The 17618-nt window shown below is 37.7% G+C and overlaps 1 protein-coding gene across 4 annotated transcripts in view, besides 1 other annotated feature; it reads right to left on the reverse strand.

The window, feature by feature from the left end:
* Nucleotides 1–17618, reverse strand: part of ARHGAP6 (Rho GTPase activating protein 6) — a 528377-nt gene that overhangs the window by 219302 nt on the left and 291457 nt on the right. The gene's annotated exons all lie outside the window — the stretch shown is intronic.
* Nucleotides 6315–6404: a silencer, noted in NCBI's record as "silent region_20658". NCBI's record gives its function as "represses an Ori minimal core promoter by ATAC-STARR-seq in GM12878 lymphoblastoid cells {active_cell/tissue: GM12878}" and the evidence as "EXISTENCE:reporter gene assay evidence [ECO:0000049][PMID:35858748]".

Here is a 17618-nt window from a genome sequence, read left to right on the forward strand (position 1 = left end):
TACTAAAGAAAATTGAGAATTTATTTCATATTTAACACAAAATATCCATATTGCCTGGACCCAGAAATGAGGAAAATGATGCTACAGTGTTAAAGCAAGGTTAGAATATTATTGTAGAGCATAATTAATGGAGGGAGTGCATTTTCAAATATCCTCTTTACCTCCTTGTTGCTATGTTGGCTACACACATAATACTACCCGAGCCTGTACCTCTCCTTAATCCATTGAAACCTTTTCTTGCTGAGGAATTTCATCACAGCCATATTACCTGCCAGTAAGTGATAGTTCAGGTCAATTTGAAATGCCACGGCTTTTGATCCTGTTGTCTCTGAGTATTTCATTTTAGATTTTAATTACAATGGTATTGTGCTTATGGACCGACCCCAAACTGCATTGAATTGGGAAGTCATTTTCCTTTATTTACCTTTTATAATATAATTTCAAAATGACAGGCTCATACACAAAGCATAATTCTTTATAGACACTGGCTCATCATTGGACTTAATCACTTCCAAAGCAATGAGGATGGAAGAAATCCAGGGGGTCCTGATTCATGGAGATTCCTGGCTTTTTTCCCACTCAGTTGATGGAAAATGTTTTCTCTTTTTAAGTTAGATGAGGGATGGGGTTAGGGAAACTTACATCCTACACTCTTATGATTTGGCTCATGGCTTTATTGTTCTCCAAATTTTATGTGTTTGGGTCAGTTAATCAGACTCCTAACTCTATCCATTGTATTCAAACAGATGTAGTACTTTTTTCTCCTTTCTTCCCCCAAAGCTGCATTACTTTTTGGATATGGGGTCTCTCTGGCCAGCTGCAAAGATTCTGCCTTTGTGAGAGATGACATCACCCCCATGCTAATAAGTCTTTTAAAACCCAGAAATTATCTTGGGTATCCTACAAGTCATGAACAGCAGTACACTAGGGATATAGCGATTTACTTAATAAATATCTGTTGTGTGGATAGAAAAGCTAGAACTACTAGTCAGGTCTGCTTTTTCTCGAACTTGAGTCTTAATTATATCTTTCTTTAAAATTGAGATATAATTCACATACTATAAAATTTACCACTTTAAAGTGTACAATCCAGTAAGTTTTAGTATATTCAGAGTCATGCAACCATTACCACAATCAACTTTGGAGCATTTTCATCACCTTAAAAAGAAATCCATACCCATTAACAGTTACTCCTCACATCCCTCTCCCTCAACCCCTAGCAACCATGAATCTACTTTCTGCCTCTGTGGATTTGCCTGTTCTGGACATTTCATATATATCCAGTCATACAATATGTAGCCTTTTGGGTCTGGATTCTTTACTTAGCATAACATTTTCGAGGTTTGCATGTGTTGTCGCAGGAATCATCCCTTTTGTGGCTAAATATATTCTTCTGTATTGATATATCACATTTGTTTATTTGTTGATGAACATTTGGATTGTTTTCAATTCTTAGCTATTATAAATAACACTGCTCTGAACATTCATGTACATGTTTCCATGTAGACATATATGTTCATTTCTCTTAGGTAGATAACCAAGAGTGGAGTTTCTGCGTCATATGGTAGTTCTACGTTTTAACTGTATCTTTCTTTCTTTCTTTCTTTCTTTCTTTCTTTCTTTCTTTCTTTCTTTCTTTCTTTTTTTTTTTTTGACAGAGTTTTACTCTTGTTGCCTAGGCTGGAATGCGATGGCGTGATCTCAGCTCACCGCTACCTCTGCCTCCTGGGTTCAAGTGATTCTCCTGCCTCAGCCTCCCGAGTAGCTGGGATTACAGGCATACGCCACCACACCCAGCTAATTTTTTGTATTTTTTAGTAGAGGTGGGGTTTCTCCATGTTGGTCAGGACAGTCTCGAACTCCCAACTTCAGGTGATCCGTCCACCTTGGCCACCCAAAGTGCTGGGATTACAGGCGTGAGCCACCGTGCCCGGCCTTAACTATATCTTAATTGTTTTCCTCAGGTAGCTATGAGTGGTCTCAATTCTTCTGTAAATTCTTTTATGATTTAGTGACTTCCTGCCTTTTTATAATAGAAAAATTGGTTTGGTATATTTTATTCCATTTTATCTTCATAAAGGTCCTCCACCCATGTCTAGAAACATTTTAATGCAAAGTCCTAAAGAAAGTTAAATCCTAAGCACTTATCTCCTTAAAAATAAATTCAGCTTGATTTAGAAGAATTCTGTATGTAAAAAAATGGGTAAATTCCCCATTCATTAATAACTCTTTGTTATAATATTATCTGTTATGGCATCTCCTTATAAAGCAAACACCTCAGGTACTAGGTATTACAAATAATTTCTTCCTTGTGTGAATGTCAAGTCCTCTGAGAGCTGATGGTATGAATCTGTACAGAAACATTTTCTGCTCACTGTAAAATCTGGTAGTGCCAAACCCATCTTATATGAGACAAACGGATCAATCTGAATTAGTGACACCAAAAACAAACAAGTTTTTCCATGTAAACATTTTTATATTCAGGAACACACAATTATTCAGATTTTCAGGATAAGAAACTTTGTTAGATAATAAGAGGACATTATGTTTAATAAACAAATTAATTCTGTAAGTGGCACTTAAAGGAAGATTAAAGGTAACCAAACAGTCTTGCTCATATGTATTATCAATACAACTTCTAAATCTTATTTAGCCTATAATAAAAGGCTTGCTAAAAATGTGTATCAGTACCAAACCTCCTATCACCATATTCCAATGTATTCAAAATTCCTAATCATCTTTGCACAAGCATTATTAAGCCAGAGCAAACACATTCAAAAGCTAGCAGAAGGCAAGAAATAACTAAAATCAGAGCAGAACTGAAGGAAATAGAGACACAAAAAACCCTTCAAAAAATTAATGAATCCAGGAGCTGGTTTTTCGAAAGGATCAACAAAATTGATAGACCGCTAGCAAGACTAATAAAGAAAAAAAGAGAGAAGAATCAAATAGACGCAATAAAAAATGATAAAGGGGATATCACCACCGATCCCACAGAAATACAAACTACCATCAGAGAATACTACAAACACATCTACGCAAATAAACTGGAAAATCTAGAAGAAATCGATAAATTCCTCAACACATACACCCTCCCAAGACTAAACCAGGAAGAAGTTGAATCTCTGAATAGACCAATAACAGGCTCTGAAATTGTGGCAATAATCAATAGCTTACCAACCAAAAAGAGTCCAGGACCAGATGGATTCACAGCCGAATTCTACCAGAGGTACAAGGAGGAACCAGTACCATTCCTTCTGAAACTATTCCAATCAATACAAAAAGAGGGAATCCTCCCTAACTCATTTTATGAGGCCAGCATCATCCTGATACCAAAGCCGGGCAGAGACACAACCAACAAAGAGAATTTTAGACCAATATCCCTGATGAACATTGATGCAAAAATCCTCAATAAAATACTGGCAAACCGAATCTAGCAGCACATCAAAAAGCTTATCCACCATGATCAAGTGGGCTTCATTCCTGGGATGCAAGGCTGGTTCAATATATGCAAATCAATAAATGTAATCCAGCATATAAACAGAACCAAAGACAAAAACCACATGATTATCTCAATAGATGCAGAAAAGGCCTTTGACAAAATTCAACAACCCCTCATGCCAAAAACTCTCAATAAATTAGGTATTGATGGGACGTATCTCAAAATAATAAGAGCTATCTATGACAAACCCACAGCCAATATCATACTAAATGGGCAAAAACTGGAAGCATTCCCTTTGAAAACTGGCACAAGACAGGGATGCCCTCTCTCACCACTCCTATTCAACATAGTGTTGGAAGTTCTGGCCAGGGCAATTAGGCAGGAGAAGGAAATAAAGGGTATTCAATTAGGAAAAGAGGAAGTCAAATTGTCCCTGTTTGCAGACGACACGATTGTATATCTAGAAAACCCCATTGTCTCAGCCCAAAATCTCCTTAAGCTGATAAGCAACCTCAGCAAAGTCTCAGGATACAAAATGAATGTACAAAAATCACAAGCATTCTTATACACCAATAACAGAGAGAGAGCCAAATCATGAGTGAACTCCCATTCACAACTGCTTCAAAGAGAATAAAATACTTAGGAATCCAACTTACAAGGGACGTGGAGGACCTCTTCAAGGAGAACTACAAACCACTGCTCAATGAAATAAAAGAGGATACAAAGAAATGGAAGAACATTCCATGCTCATGGGTAGGAAGAATCAATACCGTGAAAATGGCCATACTGCCCAAGGTAATTTATAGATTCAATGCCATCCCCATCAAGCTACCAATGACTTTCTTCACAGAATTGGAAAAAACTACTTTAAAGTTCATATGGAACCAAAAAAGAGCCCGCATCGCCAAGTCAATCCTAAGCCAAAAGAACAAAGCTGGAGGCATCATGCTACCTGACTTCAAACTATACTACAAGGCTACAGTAACCAAAACAGCATGGTACTGGTACCAAAACAGAGATATAGATCAATGGAATAGAACAGAGCCCTCAGAAATAACGCCGCATATCTACAACTATCTGATCTTTGACAAACCTGAGAAAAACAAGCAATGGGGAAAGGAGTCCCTATTTAATAAATGGTGCTGGGAAAACTGGCTAGCCATATGTAGAAAGCTGAAACTGCATCCCTTCCTTACACCTTATACAAAAATTAATTCAAGATGGATTAAAGACTTAAATGTTAGACCTAAAACCATAAAAACCCTAGAAGAAAACCTAGGCAATACCATTCAGGACATAGGCATGGGCAAGGACTTCATGTCTAAAACACCAAAAGCAATGGCAACAAAAGCCAAAATTGACAAATGGGATCTAATTAAACTAAAGAGCTTCTGCACAGCAAAAGAAACTACCATCAGAGTGAATAGGCAACCTACAAAATAGGAGAAAATTTTTGCAACCTACTCATCTCACAAAGGGCTAATATCCAGAATCTACAATGAACACAAACAAATTTACAAGAAAAAAACGACCAACCCCATCAAAAAGTGGGCGAAGGATATGAACAGACACTTCTCAAAAGAAGACATTTATGCAGCCAAAAGACACACGACAAAATGCTCATCATCACTGGCCATCAGAGAAATGCAAATCAAAACCACAATGAGATACCATCTCACACCAGTTACAATGGCAATCATTAAAAAGTCAGGAAACAACAGGTGCTGGAGAGGATGTGGAGAAATAGGAACACTTTTACACTGTTGGTGGGACTGCAAACTAGTTCAACCCTTGTGGAAGTCAGTGTGGCGATTCCTCAGGGATCTAGAACTAGAAACACCATTTGACCCAGCCATCCCATTACTGGGTATATACCCAAAGGACTATAAATCATGCTGTTATAAAGACACATGCACACGTATGTTTATTGCAGCACTATTCACAATAGCAAAGTCTTGGAACCAACCCAAATGTCCAACAAGGATAGACTGGATTAAGAAAATGTGGCACATATACACCATGGAATACTATGCAGCCATAAAAAATGATGAGTTCATGTCCTTTGTAGGGACATGGATGAAATTGGAAATCATCATTCTCAGTAAACTATCGCAAGAACAAAAAACCAAACACCGCAAGTTCTCACTCATAGATGGGAACTGAACAACGAAAACACATGGACACAGGAAGGGGAACATCACACTCTGGGGACTGTTGTGGGGTGGCGGAAGGGGGGAGGGTTAGCATTAGGAGATATACCTAATGCTAAATGACGAGTTAATGGGTGCAGCACACCAGCATGGCACATGTATACATATGTAACTAACCTGCACATTGTGCATATGTACCCTAAAACTTAAAGTATAATAATAATAATAATAATAATAAACACTGTAATTCTATATTGTGATTTGCTTCCCATTTGAAAAAAAGTATTTCCTCCCTTGTCTTCTAAGAAGGTACTCCTTGAGGGATTTTATAGAGTTCAGATTTGCTGTCTTTCTCCTGCCTCCTTCGGCACCAGTCAAATCATTTTGTAAAATTCACTGGGATTAACAGGCATTAGTAATTTGTTTATCGGTCACATAGATAAAATTTGCCTTTGAATTTTATATGAATACTGTCCACAAACACAGAATGTTTTTTCTATCTTTTCAGTTGACTAAGAAAAAAACTACACACATGCGCATATAAAAAGCACTGTTTCCTTCTGATACTTCATTTGAAAGCCCCTCAAAAGCAGAAGAAAAAAAATAAAACCATATGAATTAAAGTTAAGGTAGAGGATTTTTCCAACAGCATCATTTCTGCTGGTTACTAAGTTCCACAAATAGCTAATGAGGCCAACCACCTTTGAAATCAAAGTGCTGTGCCCCATCTCCTAATGGAGCCACAGTATGCTAAGGGAAGTGAAACTTCTAGAGTCAGCACCCAGATGGTGTTGACAAAGAAACCCACGTGCATGGTGCAGTGCAGACTATTTTTTAAATTGGCCTCAAACTCTAAAAAGCACACAAACACACATTTGGATCACCTCTGTTCCACCACACAAAACAGTCCCAGTTTGCGTGACTCCCCACTGCCTGGTTCACATGCTGAGTAACTGGATGCTATTTCAATATTTAGCTCAGGCCAACAACATTAGCAAAGCAGATTTTTCTCACCTTATTGCCCATGGCCAAATATATAACTTTGAGGTGGTCTGCGCGGTCTGCTTCTTTCCATATGAGTATAACATTGACCTGTATGCATATGATTCTCAGCAATGTAGAGGTAACTGCTCACATTTGTATCTTAGTAAGAGGGAATTGATGAAGCAATAAATGTTTAACAGCTAGGTGTCATCTCCCAGCTGTGTATGAATTTCTGTTATAATATCAATGACAAATCATTGACTAAGCTTATCTTATAGACAGAAGTCCACTGAACTTGCTTTTAGACAACCTAAGTCGAAATTACTTTTCTGAATGTAAATTAATTCAGCCACTGTAAAAAGCAGATTGGCAATTTCTCAAAGCATTTAAAACAGAACTACCATTCAGCCCAACAATCCCATTATTGGGTATATACTCAAAGGAATATAAATTGTTCTATCATAAAGACACATGCACATGTATGTTTATCACAGCACTATCCATAATATTCCAAAGACATGGAATCAACCTAAATGCACATCAACAGTAGACTGGATAAAGAAAATGTGGTACATATATTCCATGGAATACTATGCAGCCATAAAAAGGAACAAGATCACATTCTTTGCAGCAACACGGATGGAACTAGAGGCCATTATCATAAGTGGAGGAACATAGGAACAGAAAACCATATACTGCATGTTCTCACTTGTAAGTGGGAGTTAAACATTTAGTACACATGGATACAAAGAAGGGAACAACAGACACCAGGGCCTACTTGAGGGTGGAGGGTGGGAGGAGAGTGAGGATCGAAAAACTACCTATTGAGTACTATGTTTACTACATGGTTGATGAAATAATCTCTACACCACAGCCCCACAACATGCAATTTACCTATATAACAAACCTGCACATGTACCTTTGAAACTAAAAATGTTAAAAAAAAAAAAAAAGAAATTACTTTTCCACCAATAATTAGCCATGTGACCTTGGAAAACTTAATTAACTTTATTAGCAGCCTCAGTTAGTTGCCTACCCAACAGTGATTTCCCCTTCCCTCCTTCTTCCAAAGAGAGGTCTAATGTTATTTGGCTATTCAACCTTCCGCCACGTGACCAAGGGTAGATGACCCATCCCGGCTCCAAAGATAGATCCTCATTATGTTTGGTCCCTTGTGGTTACACTATTCCATTTGCCAGGAATGTTTTAAGAAGGGAAATGCATATCAGATTAAGTTTGGTTGCATAACTACAAAAAAGAGCAAGAAATAAAAATAACAGTGGTCTTAAATAAGATGCAAATATAATTCCCTGGGGAATTATATTTTATATACTGGAGAAAAGAAGACAGGTGTTAGGCAACAGGGGGCACCCTGTTCAGGAGTAGATAGATGCATCAGGGATGAGGCTCTCAACTAGCTTACTTTTCTGCCATTTTGCTGTGCTGTCTCAGGTCCGGCACTGCTGCTAGGAGCCCTGGACAACTTCAGCCAACAGGAAGCCCTTACTGCAGGGGACTTAGTCACATGATGACAGTTAGCTATACAGGAGGTAGTGAAAGGAAGGTGGGGGAAATGCAAGGAGAAGGGGAGACAACTAGTAGTCATTGTCACAGCATGTGGCCCAATTCCCGCCTATGAAATATGAAGCTTCCGGGAAAGTCTCCTGCTATGAAAGAGAAACAAAAAGAGATAAACTGTACTTCTCCCTCTGATCAGTGTCACATCTCAATGTGATGTCTGAAACTGATGCAGCCATCTTGGTACCAGCCTGAGAGCAAAGCCAACAATACACAGAGCAGGACAGAGCCTGCAGAGAGAAGGACCCAACATCCTGACATTCTGTATGGTACCCAGATCGTAGGCCATGCTGGACTTCTTGTCATCTTAGATGGAAATTTCATTACTGTTTATTTCCAATGGAGGGGGAGTCTTCTGTTACTTGCAGACAAATGTCTTCAAATTCATTCGACCTATCCAGTAGGCCTTACAAATTTAAAGACAGTCATTTCTCCCTCTTGGTTTGTATTTTCACAAGCTAAAAATTCTAGAGACATAGAAGATCAATCAATTCTTATTTTAATCACTATTATCAAAATATATCTTGATTAATGCCTTAGCAATATTAAGTAACGTATATGCCTATAGTGATGTGTTATTGTCATGTAGACCAAAATAGAAAAGCAGAACAAAAAGATAAAATTCATTAAATACGTCATATTCACGTTCATTAAAAAATAATTGTTCATTTATCTTTTGGCTTATTGTTTTATAAAATGAATGCAGAAAACCATAAAATAATTCAGGTATTGGGGTTCCAATTCCTGGCCTTACCACTTGCATTGTGATCTAAGGAAAGCAATTTCATCTGTGAGAGCCATAGTTTTTTATACATTAAAAAATGGGAGAGGAATACCACTGGTTTTAGTCAGCCTTGGCTGCCAAAACAAAATATCATTTGCTTTTCACAGTTCTGGAGGCTGGACATCTGAGATCATGGTGCCAGCAGAGTTCAGTTCTGATGAGGGATCTCCTCCTGGCTTGCAGACAGCCACCTTCTCACTGTGTTCTCACATGGCAGGGAAAGAGCAAGGTCTGGTCTCTTCCTCTTCTTATAAGGGCACTAATCCCATCATGGGAGCCCCACTCTCATGAATTCAGCTAAACCTAATCACTCCCCAAAGGCCCTACCTGCAAATAGCATCACACTGGCTGTAGGGCTAGGCTTCAACATAGGAATTTTGGTGGGACGCAAACATTCAGTCCATAAAACCATCTCTTCTTAAGAATGTGTGAAGGTTGAAGAAATGTGTAAGTGGCATAATGGCAGTTATATAGTACTCATTAACTGGCAACTATGACATCATGGGCAGCCAGTGAGGATACAAAGACAAAGTTAGTAGATCTGATTCAATATTTCATTCATTCGTTTATACATACATACATTCAGATTCCACCTAGTTCCAGAAGGCATTGAAAGCAGAAGGAAAGCAAATATAAAAATTATTGCAATGTTTTAAGTTATAGAATAAATTGTATCTATCAAGAAATTATGGGTAGATAGAGAGATAGCAGAAACCAAGAGACATCAGATGTCATGAAGGAGCAGAAGCCATGAGGGAAAGAGAAGAAAAGTCAACGAAAGGTATTTGAGAGTAGACTAGAGCGACGTGGGTAAGTGAGGGAGGTGGGGAGAAAGAGAGAAAGCTAGTTAGCATCAAGTCTACAGCCTGGTAAATGTCGAATGTTACTAGAGTCATACTTTGCACAGGGATGAGTTTCCTTTGAGTCTTGCATGGGGTGGTGTTCAGTTTTCACAAGGGCTAAGATGTTTTTCCCCTTTTAAGTTCTTTCCTGTGTAACTTTACAATGGATATCTCCTACCTGAAATAACCAAGTGTGTCTCTGTTCCTTGCAACATGGAAGAACATAAAACAAAGTAGTAGCCTAAGCCACAGAATTGATAAAAGGGTGAAAGAAATGTGTCTACAGTGAGAGGAGAAGAGGCCTAAGATGGAAGTATGTTTAAGGAGCAGGTGAGGAATAACATGCCTTCAAAGGAGAGCAAGACATATTACTCCCAGAGGTAGGAGGAGAAATAATAGAGTTATGGAAAAGGGAAGAAAAGACGTTGTCAGGAAAAAACAGCTGGATTCAGAGGTTCCAGAGGTAACATGCAATAAGGACTCACTCTCCTGAATTCGCAGCAAAGTTGCCTATAACCCTGAAGACAGAAGACTCAAAGGAATGATGGGGTAGAAGCCAGATAGCAGAGAGTTCAGGAGTAGATAGATGAGCATGTGAACTAGCTTTGAGTGTAAACTATTCTTATGAGAGATTTAGTTGCAAAAAAGAGATGGCTTTCAGAAGAGGTTTGCTCAAGGAAGGGTTTTGACATGACAAGATGACTGAGAGTGTAGAAGTTGAAGCTGGGGAAGAGTTAACATGATGCTATCTGGAGTGACCCTGATGAAGCAGAACTGCATGGGATTTGGACAGGATGACAGATGCCTTTGCCTCTGAGATGGGAGGAAATGGGGCCTGTGCTGCCCATACTTGAATTTCATTTGTGATGAATCTTTGACTACAAGGACAAATTGACCCAGTACTTTCATGTGGAACTAGCTATAACAAAGGATATTTAAAGTTTTAAGTGAGCTTGTTTTAACCTCACAAAGTATTATATATAAATAATATGGTCATTTAAAATTTCCCAATTATTGTTATTTGTTCTGGATCTTAAGCTCATATCATAAGAACATTGATGGGGCTAAGTTTCTGGAAGTGACAGATCTTGTGCTTGTGGCTGGCTAATGAATCACCCAGGAAGTTTGAGAGACCAGGATGTTACCTCCAGATTGTGGGACTTCCAGGCTTCCGCCCTATCAGGCAGGCACATCTGCTTCTCCAGATGAAGGAAACAAAACCAGAATAGAAGAGTCAGTTGGCAAAGCAACAAGGTCAATTCTTGCCCTCTCCTTCCTGGTTTCCTGCACTGACCTGGAACTATCTACGTGAACTGCCTTCAACCAATTCTGCACTCTGCAAAAAGAATTAAAGCAGGAAGGACTACACTGTTCTCCTCTTTCAGCATCCCTGAAATGCCGTCTGACTCATTTACTAAACCCACAAGTTTTGACTGATCTATACTGTGCATTAGACTCTGTCCTAGGCACTGGAGAAAGCATGGTGATCGTAAAATAGTTTTCCTATGTAGCACAGATTGCCGTGGGTCTTGCATGAGGACTAATTGTTAATAAGGATTCTTGTTGTTTATCTAAACGGATGCATCTGTAAATCTTGCTTGAGCATATTGCATTACTGTTTACAAAAGGGTAAGGTTGCTGTTTATTTTTCGGCATGGAAGATGCACACATTGTACTTTTCATTTACAAGATACAGCTCAGGGTGAACAAAGCCCTAGGATAAATACTCTTTTCTAAAACACACAAAAGATGATAAACTCCAAAGCTTACATGTGTTCTAATTTTCATTATGGCCCATTTGGCCCAGGGTTCCATATCTGTCAGAAGATCCCCGTGACATATTAGGGAGGGCATGGTTTTGGCTATCATCTAAAATAGCATTCTTATTCCTCCTCCAATTCTAACTTCCCAACCTGCCTTAATTATCACATTTGGATTCATCTTCCATGAATTAAAATATTAGACTATATCACTTCTTAAGATACAGGATAGAAATAGAACCAGGATGCTTGCAATTTATGACTTCCATGAAGTTAACTCTAATTTTATGTTTCCTAATATTGCTGTTGTCAAGCTTAAAGGGTATTACCTAGTCCTGTTAAGTTCTATTGTGTCTTGTCCATCTCATATCTCTGTAGCTTATAAAGTACCTGACAAAGAAGGAAAGAGCTTGATAAATATTTGTGGAATAAAATAATTTAATCAATAACTAATTGTCACCCTTTTAAATTTGTAGACTTTAAATTTCCTGTCTCTCTGGTTTCATGTTTTACAGTCTAAAAAATCCTGATATTTTGGTAGATTCTCACCAAGTAAGACTTAGGTGCCCATATGTCCCAGTTTGCTTAGTGCAGTTCCAGTTCATGCCTAATGTGCCAGGGTAATTATTCCTAGTGATCTTTTCCCTTTCAAAAGTATCCCAGTTTGAATGACCCTCTAATCACTATTCTCCCGGGTCCCTTGAGCCCCTCTGTAAAATTCTACATGTGCATTTCAGAAGCTGGAGAAAGCTTTCTTTTTACAGGACATTGTGGTAGGTTTTTTGTTTGTTTGTTTGTTTGTTTGTTTTTTTGCCTACTCCCCTTCCTGATGATAAAGTATCTCTACGGACTTTCAGACTACTGGGCAGGGGTTGTCTAGGAAAAGCCTAGGGCCATGCTTTTCAAATTTTAGTGTGCTTTAATGTATCACTGGGGGCTTCTGTGAAAATGTAGATCCTATTCAGCAGGTCTGGAATGGGGCTCCTGATACTGTTGGGCTGAGGACAGCACTTTGAGTAACAAGGGTCTCCAAGTTTTCCTAGTTAGCCATGACTTAGAGCCCAGCTATTATGACATAACATTGCTTAGTGCTCAACAGGATACTCTTTAGAAGCCACAGAGCTGAGGTCAAACCTTGCCCTCATCACTCATACCTTTGTGACCTTACACAATGTATTGATCCCTCTAAAACTCAGTTTTCTTATATATGAGATACAAAGAATAACAATTATCTCAGAGGAATGATGTGAAGATTAAATGAAATAATAAATATAAAACAGTACTATCTTCCCTCATTGTAAATGTTCAAAACTGGTGGTAGCTGAAATTGTCATCATCACAGTTATCAAGTGTAGTTTGAATTCCTCCCCCGTTTTCTCTGCCCAGTTCTTCCCTGCCATTTCCCCCGTTTTACTCAAAGCTTAACATCAGAAGTTACTTGTTTAGATAAATATCAAAGGGTAATGAGCAGAGATATATTTTGGATAGTGCCTTAAAAATGGACACTGGGATATGCTAAACTATCAAGTTGTCAGTACATGCAGGAATTACAATCAAGGTTTGGACAGATCTACAGGAAGGGCCAAAAGTTGGCAATTAATGCCAATTCATAGATGCTTAATTATCACTTGACTGGATTAAATTCCCTGGGCTGAGGCTGCCTCCTTTAGTTAGCATGCGTCAATAGCAGCAGTCAGAAGCAATTCAATTGTATATACTCTTCTAAAACCCAGAATTACCAGAAGAAAGAGAATGAATATTAGAAAAATAGAAAAGTTTAATAGACCAACTCATCAACCTAGACCTTGTTTTAAACTTTGCCTTCTCTTTTTCCTAATTGGGTATCAGGTAGCAGAATTCCAAGTATTCCAGTTTCACTTACTTTATTTTAGCCTTTCAAAAGTCACATAATCTAAACCTTCGTTTTAACTCATGGAAAGTGATAGGACTGAAACAGCATTTTGTAAATAACAACTTACTATTTAAACCTATAGCGTCAACATCATTGTTGCAGTCATCAAAATTGTTATTCTCTTCCTCATCTTCAAGGTCCCTTCTGGCTATAAACATTTCTCTTTCCTCTGATGTCAGTCCTAATGTAGGACCCATGTTCTTTCTCTCTGGGTAGAGTCACCAGTGAAAGAATAAAAGTGATATCAGAAACTTGGATAATTTTCTTACTAGAAAATCTCTACTTAGTCATTGTAAAACTGGATGTTGAGTTTGAAGTGACAATGTGCTATAGGTTTACCTCCTACAATTCAAAGCTCACTATAGACTATAATTTTCCATTGATTAATTCATTGACTTATTCATTGTACACTTGCTTAGACCATAGTACCTATGGCATGAAGAACATAATAAAATGTCTCTCCCTAGTGAGAACTCACAGAACTACCAGGGCATGCTTCCTGAGGCCCATCACACTCTACAGGTCAATCATGATTCCATCTTGAGTTAACTATTCTTGACACTTACATGGCAGGTCATTTTCAAAGTATGCTTACAAACAACAACAACAACAACAACAACAACAACATGTTCTTAACAAAGATTGGCCCAACTATCACAATGACTGGAGGGCCTACTTATAGAAATAGTAGGAATAACTAATTTATATTTTCCACCAGGGTTGCACTGAGCACTGATAGGTCTCACTTGATGGATAATTCTCAAAATCCCTTAAGAAGATTTCCATGCAGAAAGAAGAGAAATCACCAGCATATTTTCATTATCTGACTGGAGGGATGGCTATTTCCTAGAGAACAGCAACCAGGATATGTGCAACATTAAAATTAACATGGTCCCTTAAGTGTTTCCCTCACCAGATTGGTTCTACAAGCACACAGCTATTTATCCTCTAAGCAAGGGTCAGCAAACTATAATCCATGGACCAAATCCAGCCCATCACCTGTTATTGTAAATAAAGTTTTATTGGAACCAGCCATGCACATTCATTTGTGTATTGTCTATGACTGTTTTTGTACTCAAATGGCAGAGTTGTGACTGAGATCTTATGGTCAGAAAAGCCTAAAATATTTACTATCTGGTCTTAACTAAAAGACCATGCTACTTTACCAAAAACAACAACAACAAAACCATTAAGCTTGCATTGACATTTCAGTGATTTAGTTTGAAGAATTCATAGATATCTTTAATAATTTTAAATTACTATAATCCTTAATAGAGGTAATTAAAAGCTACAATGGAGAGATTTGGAATAAAAATTTCTATGCAAATATCCCTTTGGTATATGGTTAATCACTAACAAATTAATCAAATATTATTTATGAGAAAGATAATGCCTAGTTTTATATATTGGAAACTTAATGAAAAAGATAACAAGTAAACATATTCAACAGCTCTGATTTCTGCCAGTATATCATAAAATAAATACTAGTACTTGAGCTCATGCTCATATCCTAATATCTACATAATAATTAGGAATAGATGAGTTGATCCACGACTCTGCTGTAAGTACTACAGGAAATGTCTCTGTAAAAGTATATTATCATTTTAATCTAGATTTAATGTATCTCATAAGCTTTTAACAATGTATATGTGTAATCATTTGAGAATCTAGAACCCAAATGAAAAAATATATATTTAAATGGAGAAGAGGGTTATTTCTGTGTCCTGCTTTAGTTAATTTTAAGACATAAATATCTAAAGTTGATAAAACAAAAGGGGAAACAAGCCCATCTGCAGAAATAATTTTGCAGTTTATATCCAAGCTACTTTTGAAATATAGAACCTGCTTTCTCCTTTCAAAGACCCTCAAGTATTTGCTGTAGCTTTATTATTAAAATATCTAGATGTGTCATTATAATCAGATGGAAAATTCAGCAAAATTGTGTTTTCTTAGTAAATAAAGTATATACTGACTATATGTTTATATATTAACTTTTTCCCACATGAAACCAGTATTTAAAGCTAAACATTTTTCTCACTACAGATACTTCTTGACTAATGAGTCAGTGATTAAATATATACCAAGTGAATATTAATAAAGAATGGATTTTTTAAAAATCATGTTCACTTTGGGATATTGATCTCATATTCCTCATGCTATGTGAATTGTACAGAATGGTTAAGAAATTATTGTTGACTGGCACGGTGGCTCACGCCTGTAATCCCAGCACTTTGGGAGGCCGAGGAGGGTGGATTACGAGGTCAGGAGATGGAGACCATCCTGGCTAACACGGTGAAACCCTGCCTCTACTAAAAATATAGAAAATTAGCCAGGCATGGTGGCACGCGCCTGTAGTCCCAGCTACTCGGGAAGCTGAGGCAGGAGAATGGCCTGAACCTAGGAGGCGGAGCTTGCAGTGAGCCAAGATCGCGCCACTGTACTGCAGCCTGGGTGACAGAGCGAGACTCCATCTCAAAAAAAAAAAAAAAAAAAAAAAAAGAAAAGAAAAGAAACGAAATTATTGTTAACTTAATTGGGACAATGATTTACAATTCTACTGATGCTGAAAGGTTAAGGAAAGACTTTGGAAATTCAAAAGCCAACCACAATTAATATTGCTTTATTCTTTTCTTTCTTATCAGGTACAAAAAATTTGGAATGTTTATAGAATGCTTGCCATATGTAAATATTGAAATAAAAATTATTCATACAAATCCCTAACCATGAAACTAAAGATTCTAATAATTCTAAATTTTTAAATATGAATATTTTCTATTTTTTTCACACACACACACAAACACACACACACACACACACACACACATATATATATATACTTTTAAAATTAGGATGCTAAATCTCTGCCCATCTGTGTCAGCCTTTTAAAGAGCTTGTGATTCCCAATCTTCAATGCCAGGATACACAGATGTTAGTAGGTGAGACAACAGACCGACAAATTCCTGCTTGGTAAGTAAAATAAAAAGTAAAATGTAAAACAGGAGATCTTGTTTTCTCTACTTTGGGGAAAATAAATCAAAACAAAACAAAATCATCACCAGCCCTCTCAAGTTCATAAAAAAGACATTGTTTAAAAAAAAAAGAGAGAGAGAAAAAAGCAAATGATAGTAATATTTATCCTGAAGCAAGGTGGCTAAAATTTGACCCAAGTACTTCCTAACTACTGAAAATTAAATCATTGCTTTTGTGGATTTGAAAAACAGAAGGTCTGCATTTCAAGCATATAAATAACATGAAATAATTGTGTCTTCACTTTGAAAGGGCTATTTACCAAAAGAATGTGACATTCTGAGGGGCACACTTTGGGGATGAAATTTAAGCAAAGGTCACATCTCAAATTCAACCAGCCTTTTTCACCTGGGCTGCAATGGAATGGAATGATTGAACAAGTGTGAACTCCTAGGCAGGGTGGGCATAGGTGGAGTTAGTGGGTAAATTTGATTTGTTTGCTAAGGTTAGTGAAATAAATTTATCTCCTTTGGAGTGGGATTCCAGGTGCTAAAAAATAAAACATGGTGTTTGTAGCCACATTTCTTTCCTTCATTTTCAAAATTTATCCAAATGAGATTAAGTTGATTGGTACTCTACAGAGATAGCAGCCACCTACCATTCTGATTAATATTTCAGTGAGGAGGCAATGTCTTATTATTGAGACCAAGCAATTATCAGCCTTTTGACTATATAACATAAAATAAAATAATCAAGACCAATATCCCATGGAAATTATCTGAAGATACAAACACAAGCCTGAGGAGACATCCCTATAGCTAAGCCTGTTGAGGTAAAGGACTGGAGTTTGAAGGGGCTCTTCCTCCTTCACAGAAGCACTATGGCCTAGCTACCCTCTCCGTGGTAGTAATATGGAGTGGGCCCAAGAGAGAGCAGCTTTAAAATTCAAAACAAGATCCTGGAGGACTGTGGTTGACTTGGCCAGGTACTTAGGAGCCACAGTTTTGCTCGTAAAGAGGCTTTGAGTAGTCACTCCCTCTCAGGTGGGCTCTAGGGTGGAGATTCCATCTTTGTGGTCCTTGGGACATCTCAAACAACAGAGATGTGGAAGCTATAAAGAAAACCTCTGAGGAAGACTATTCACTGGGACAGGGCAGATATTACATATTTCCAGCATCACAAAATTTTCTATTGGACAA

The sequence above is a fragment of the Homo sapiens genome, chromosome X (assembly GCF_000001405.40).
Source record: "Homo sapiens chromosome X, GRCh38.p14 Primary Assembly".
Taxonomy (NCBI): domain Eukaryota; kingdom Metazoa; phylum Chordata; class Mammalia; order Primates; family Hominidae; genus Homo; species Homo sapiens.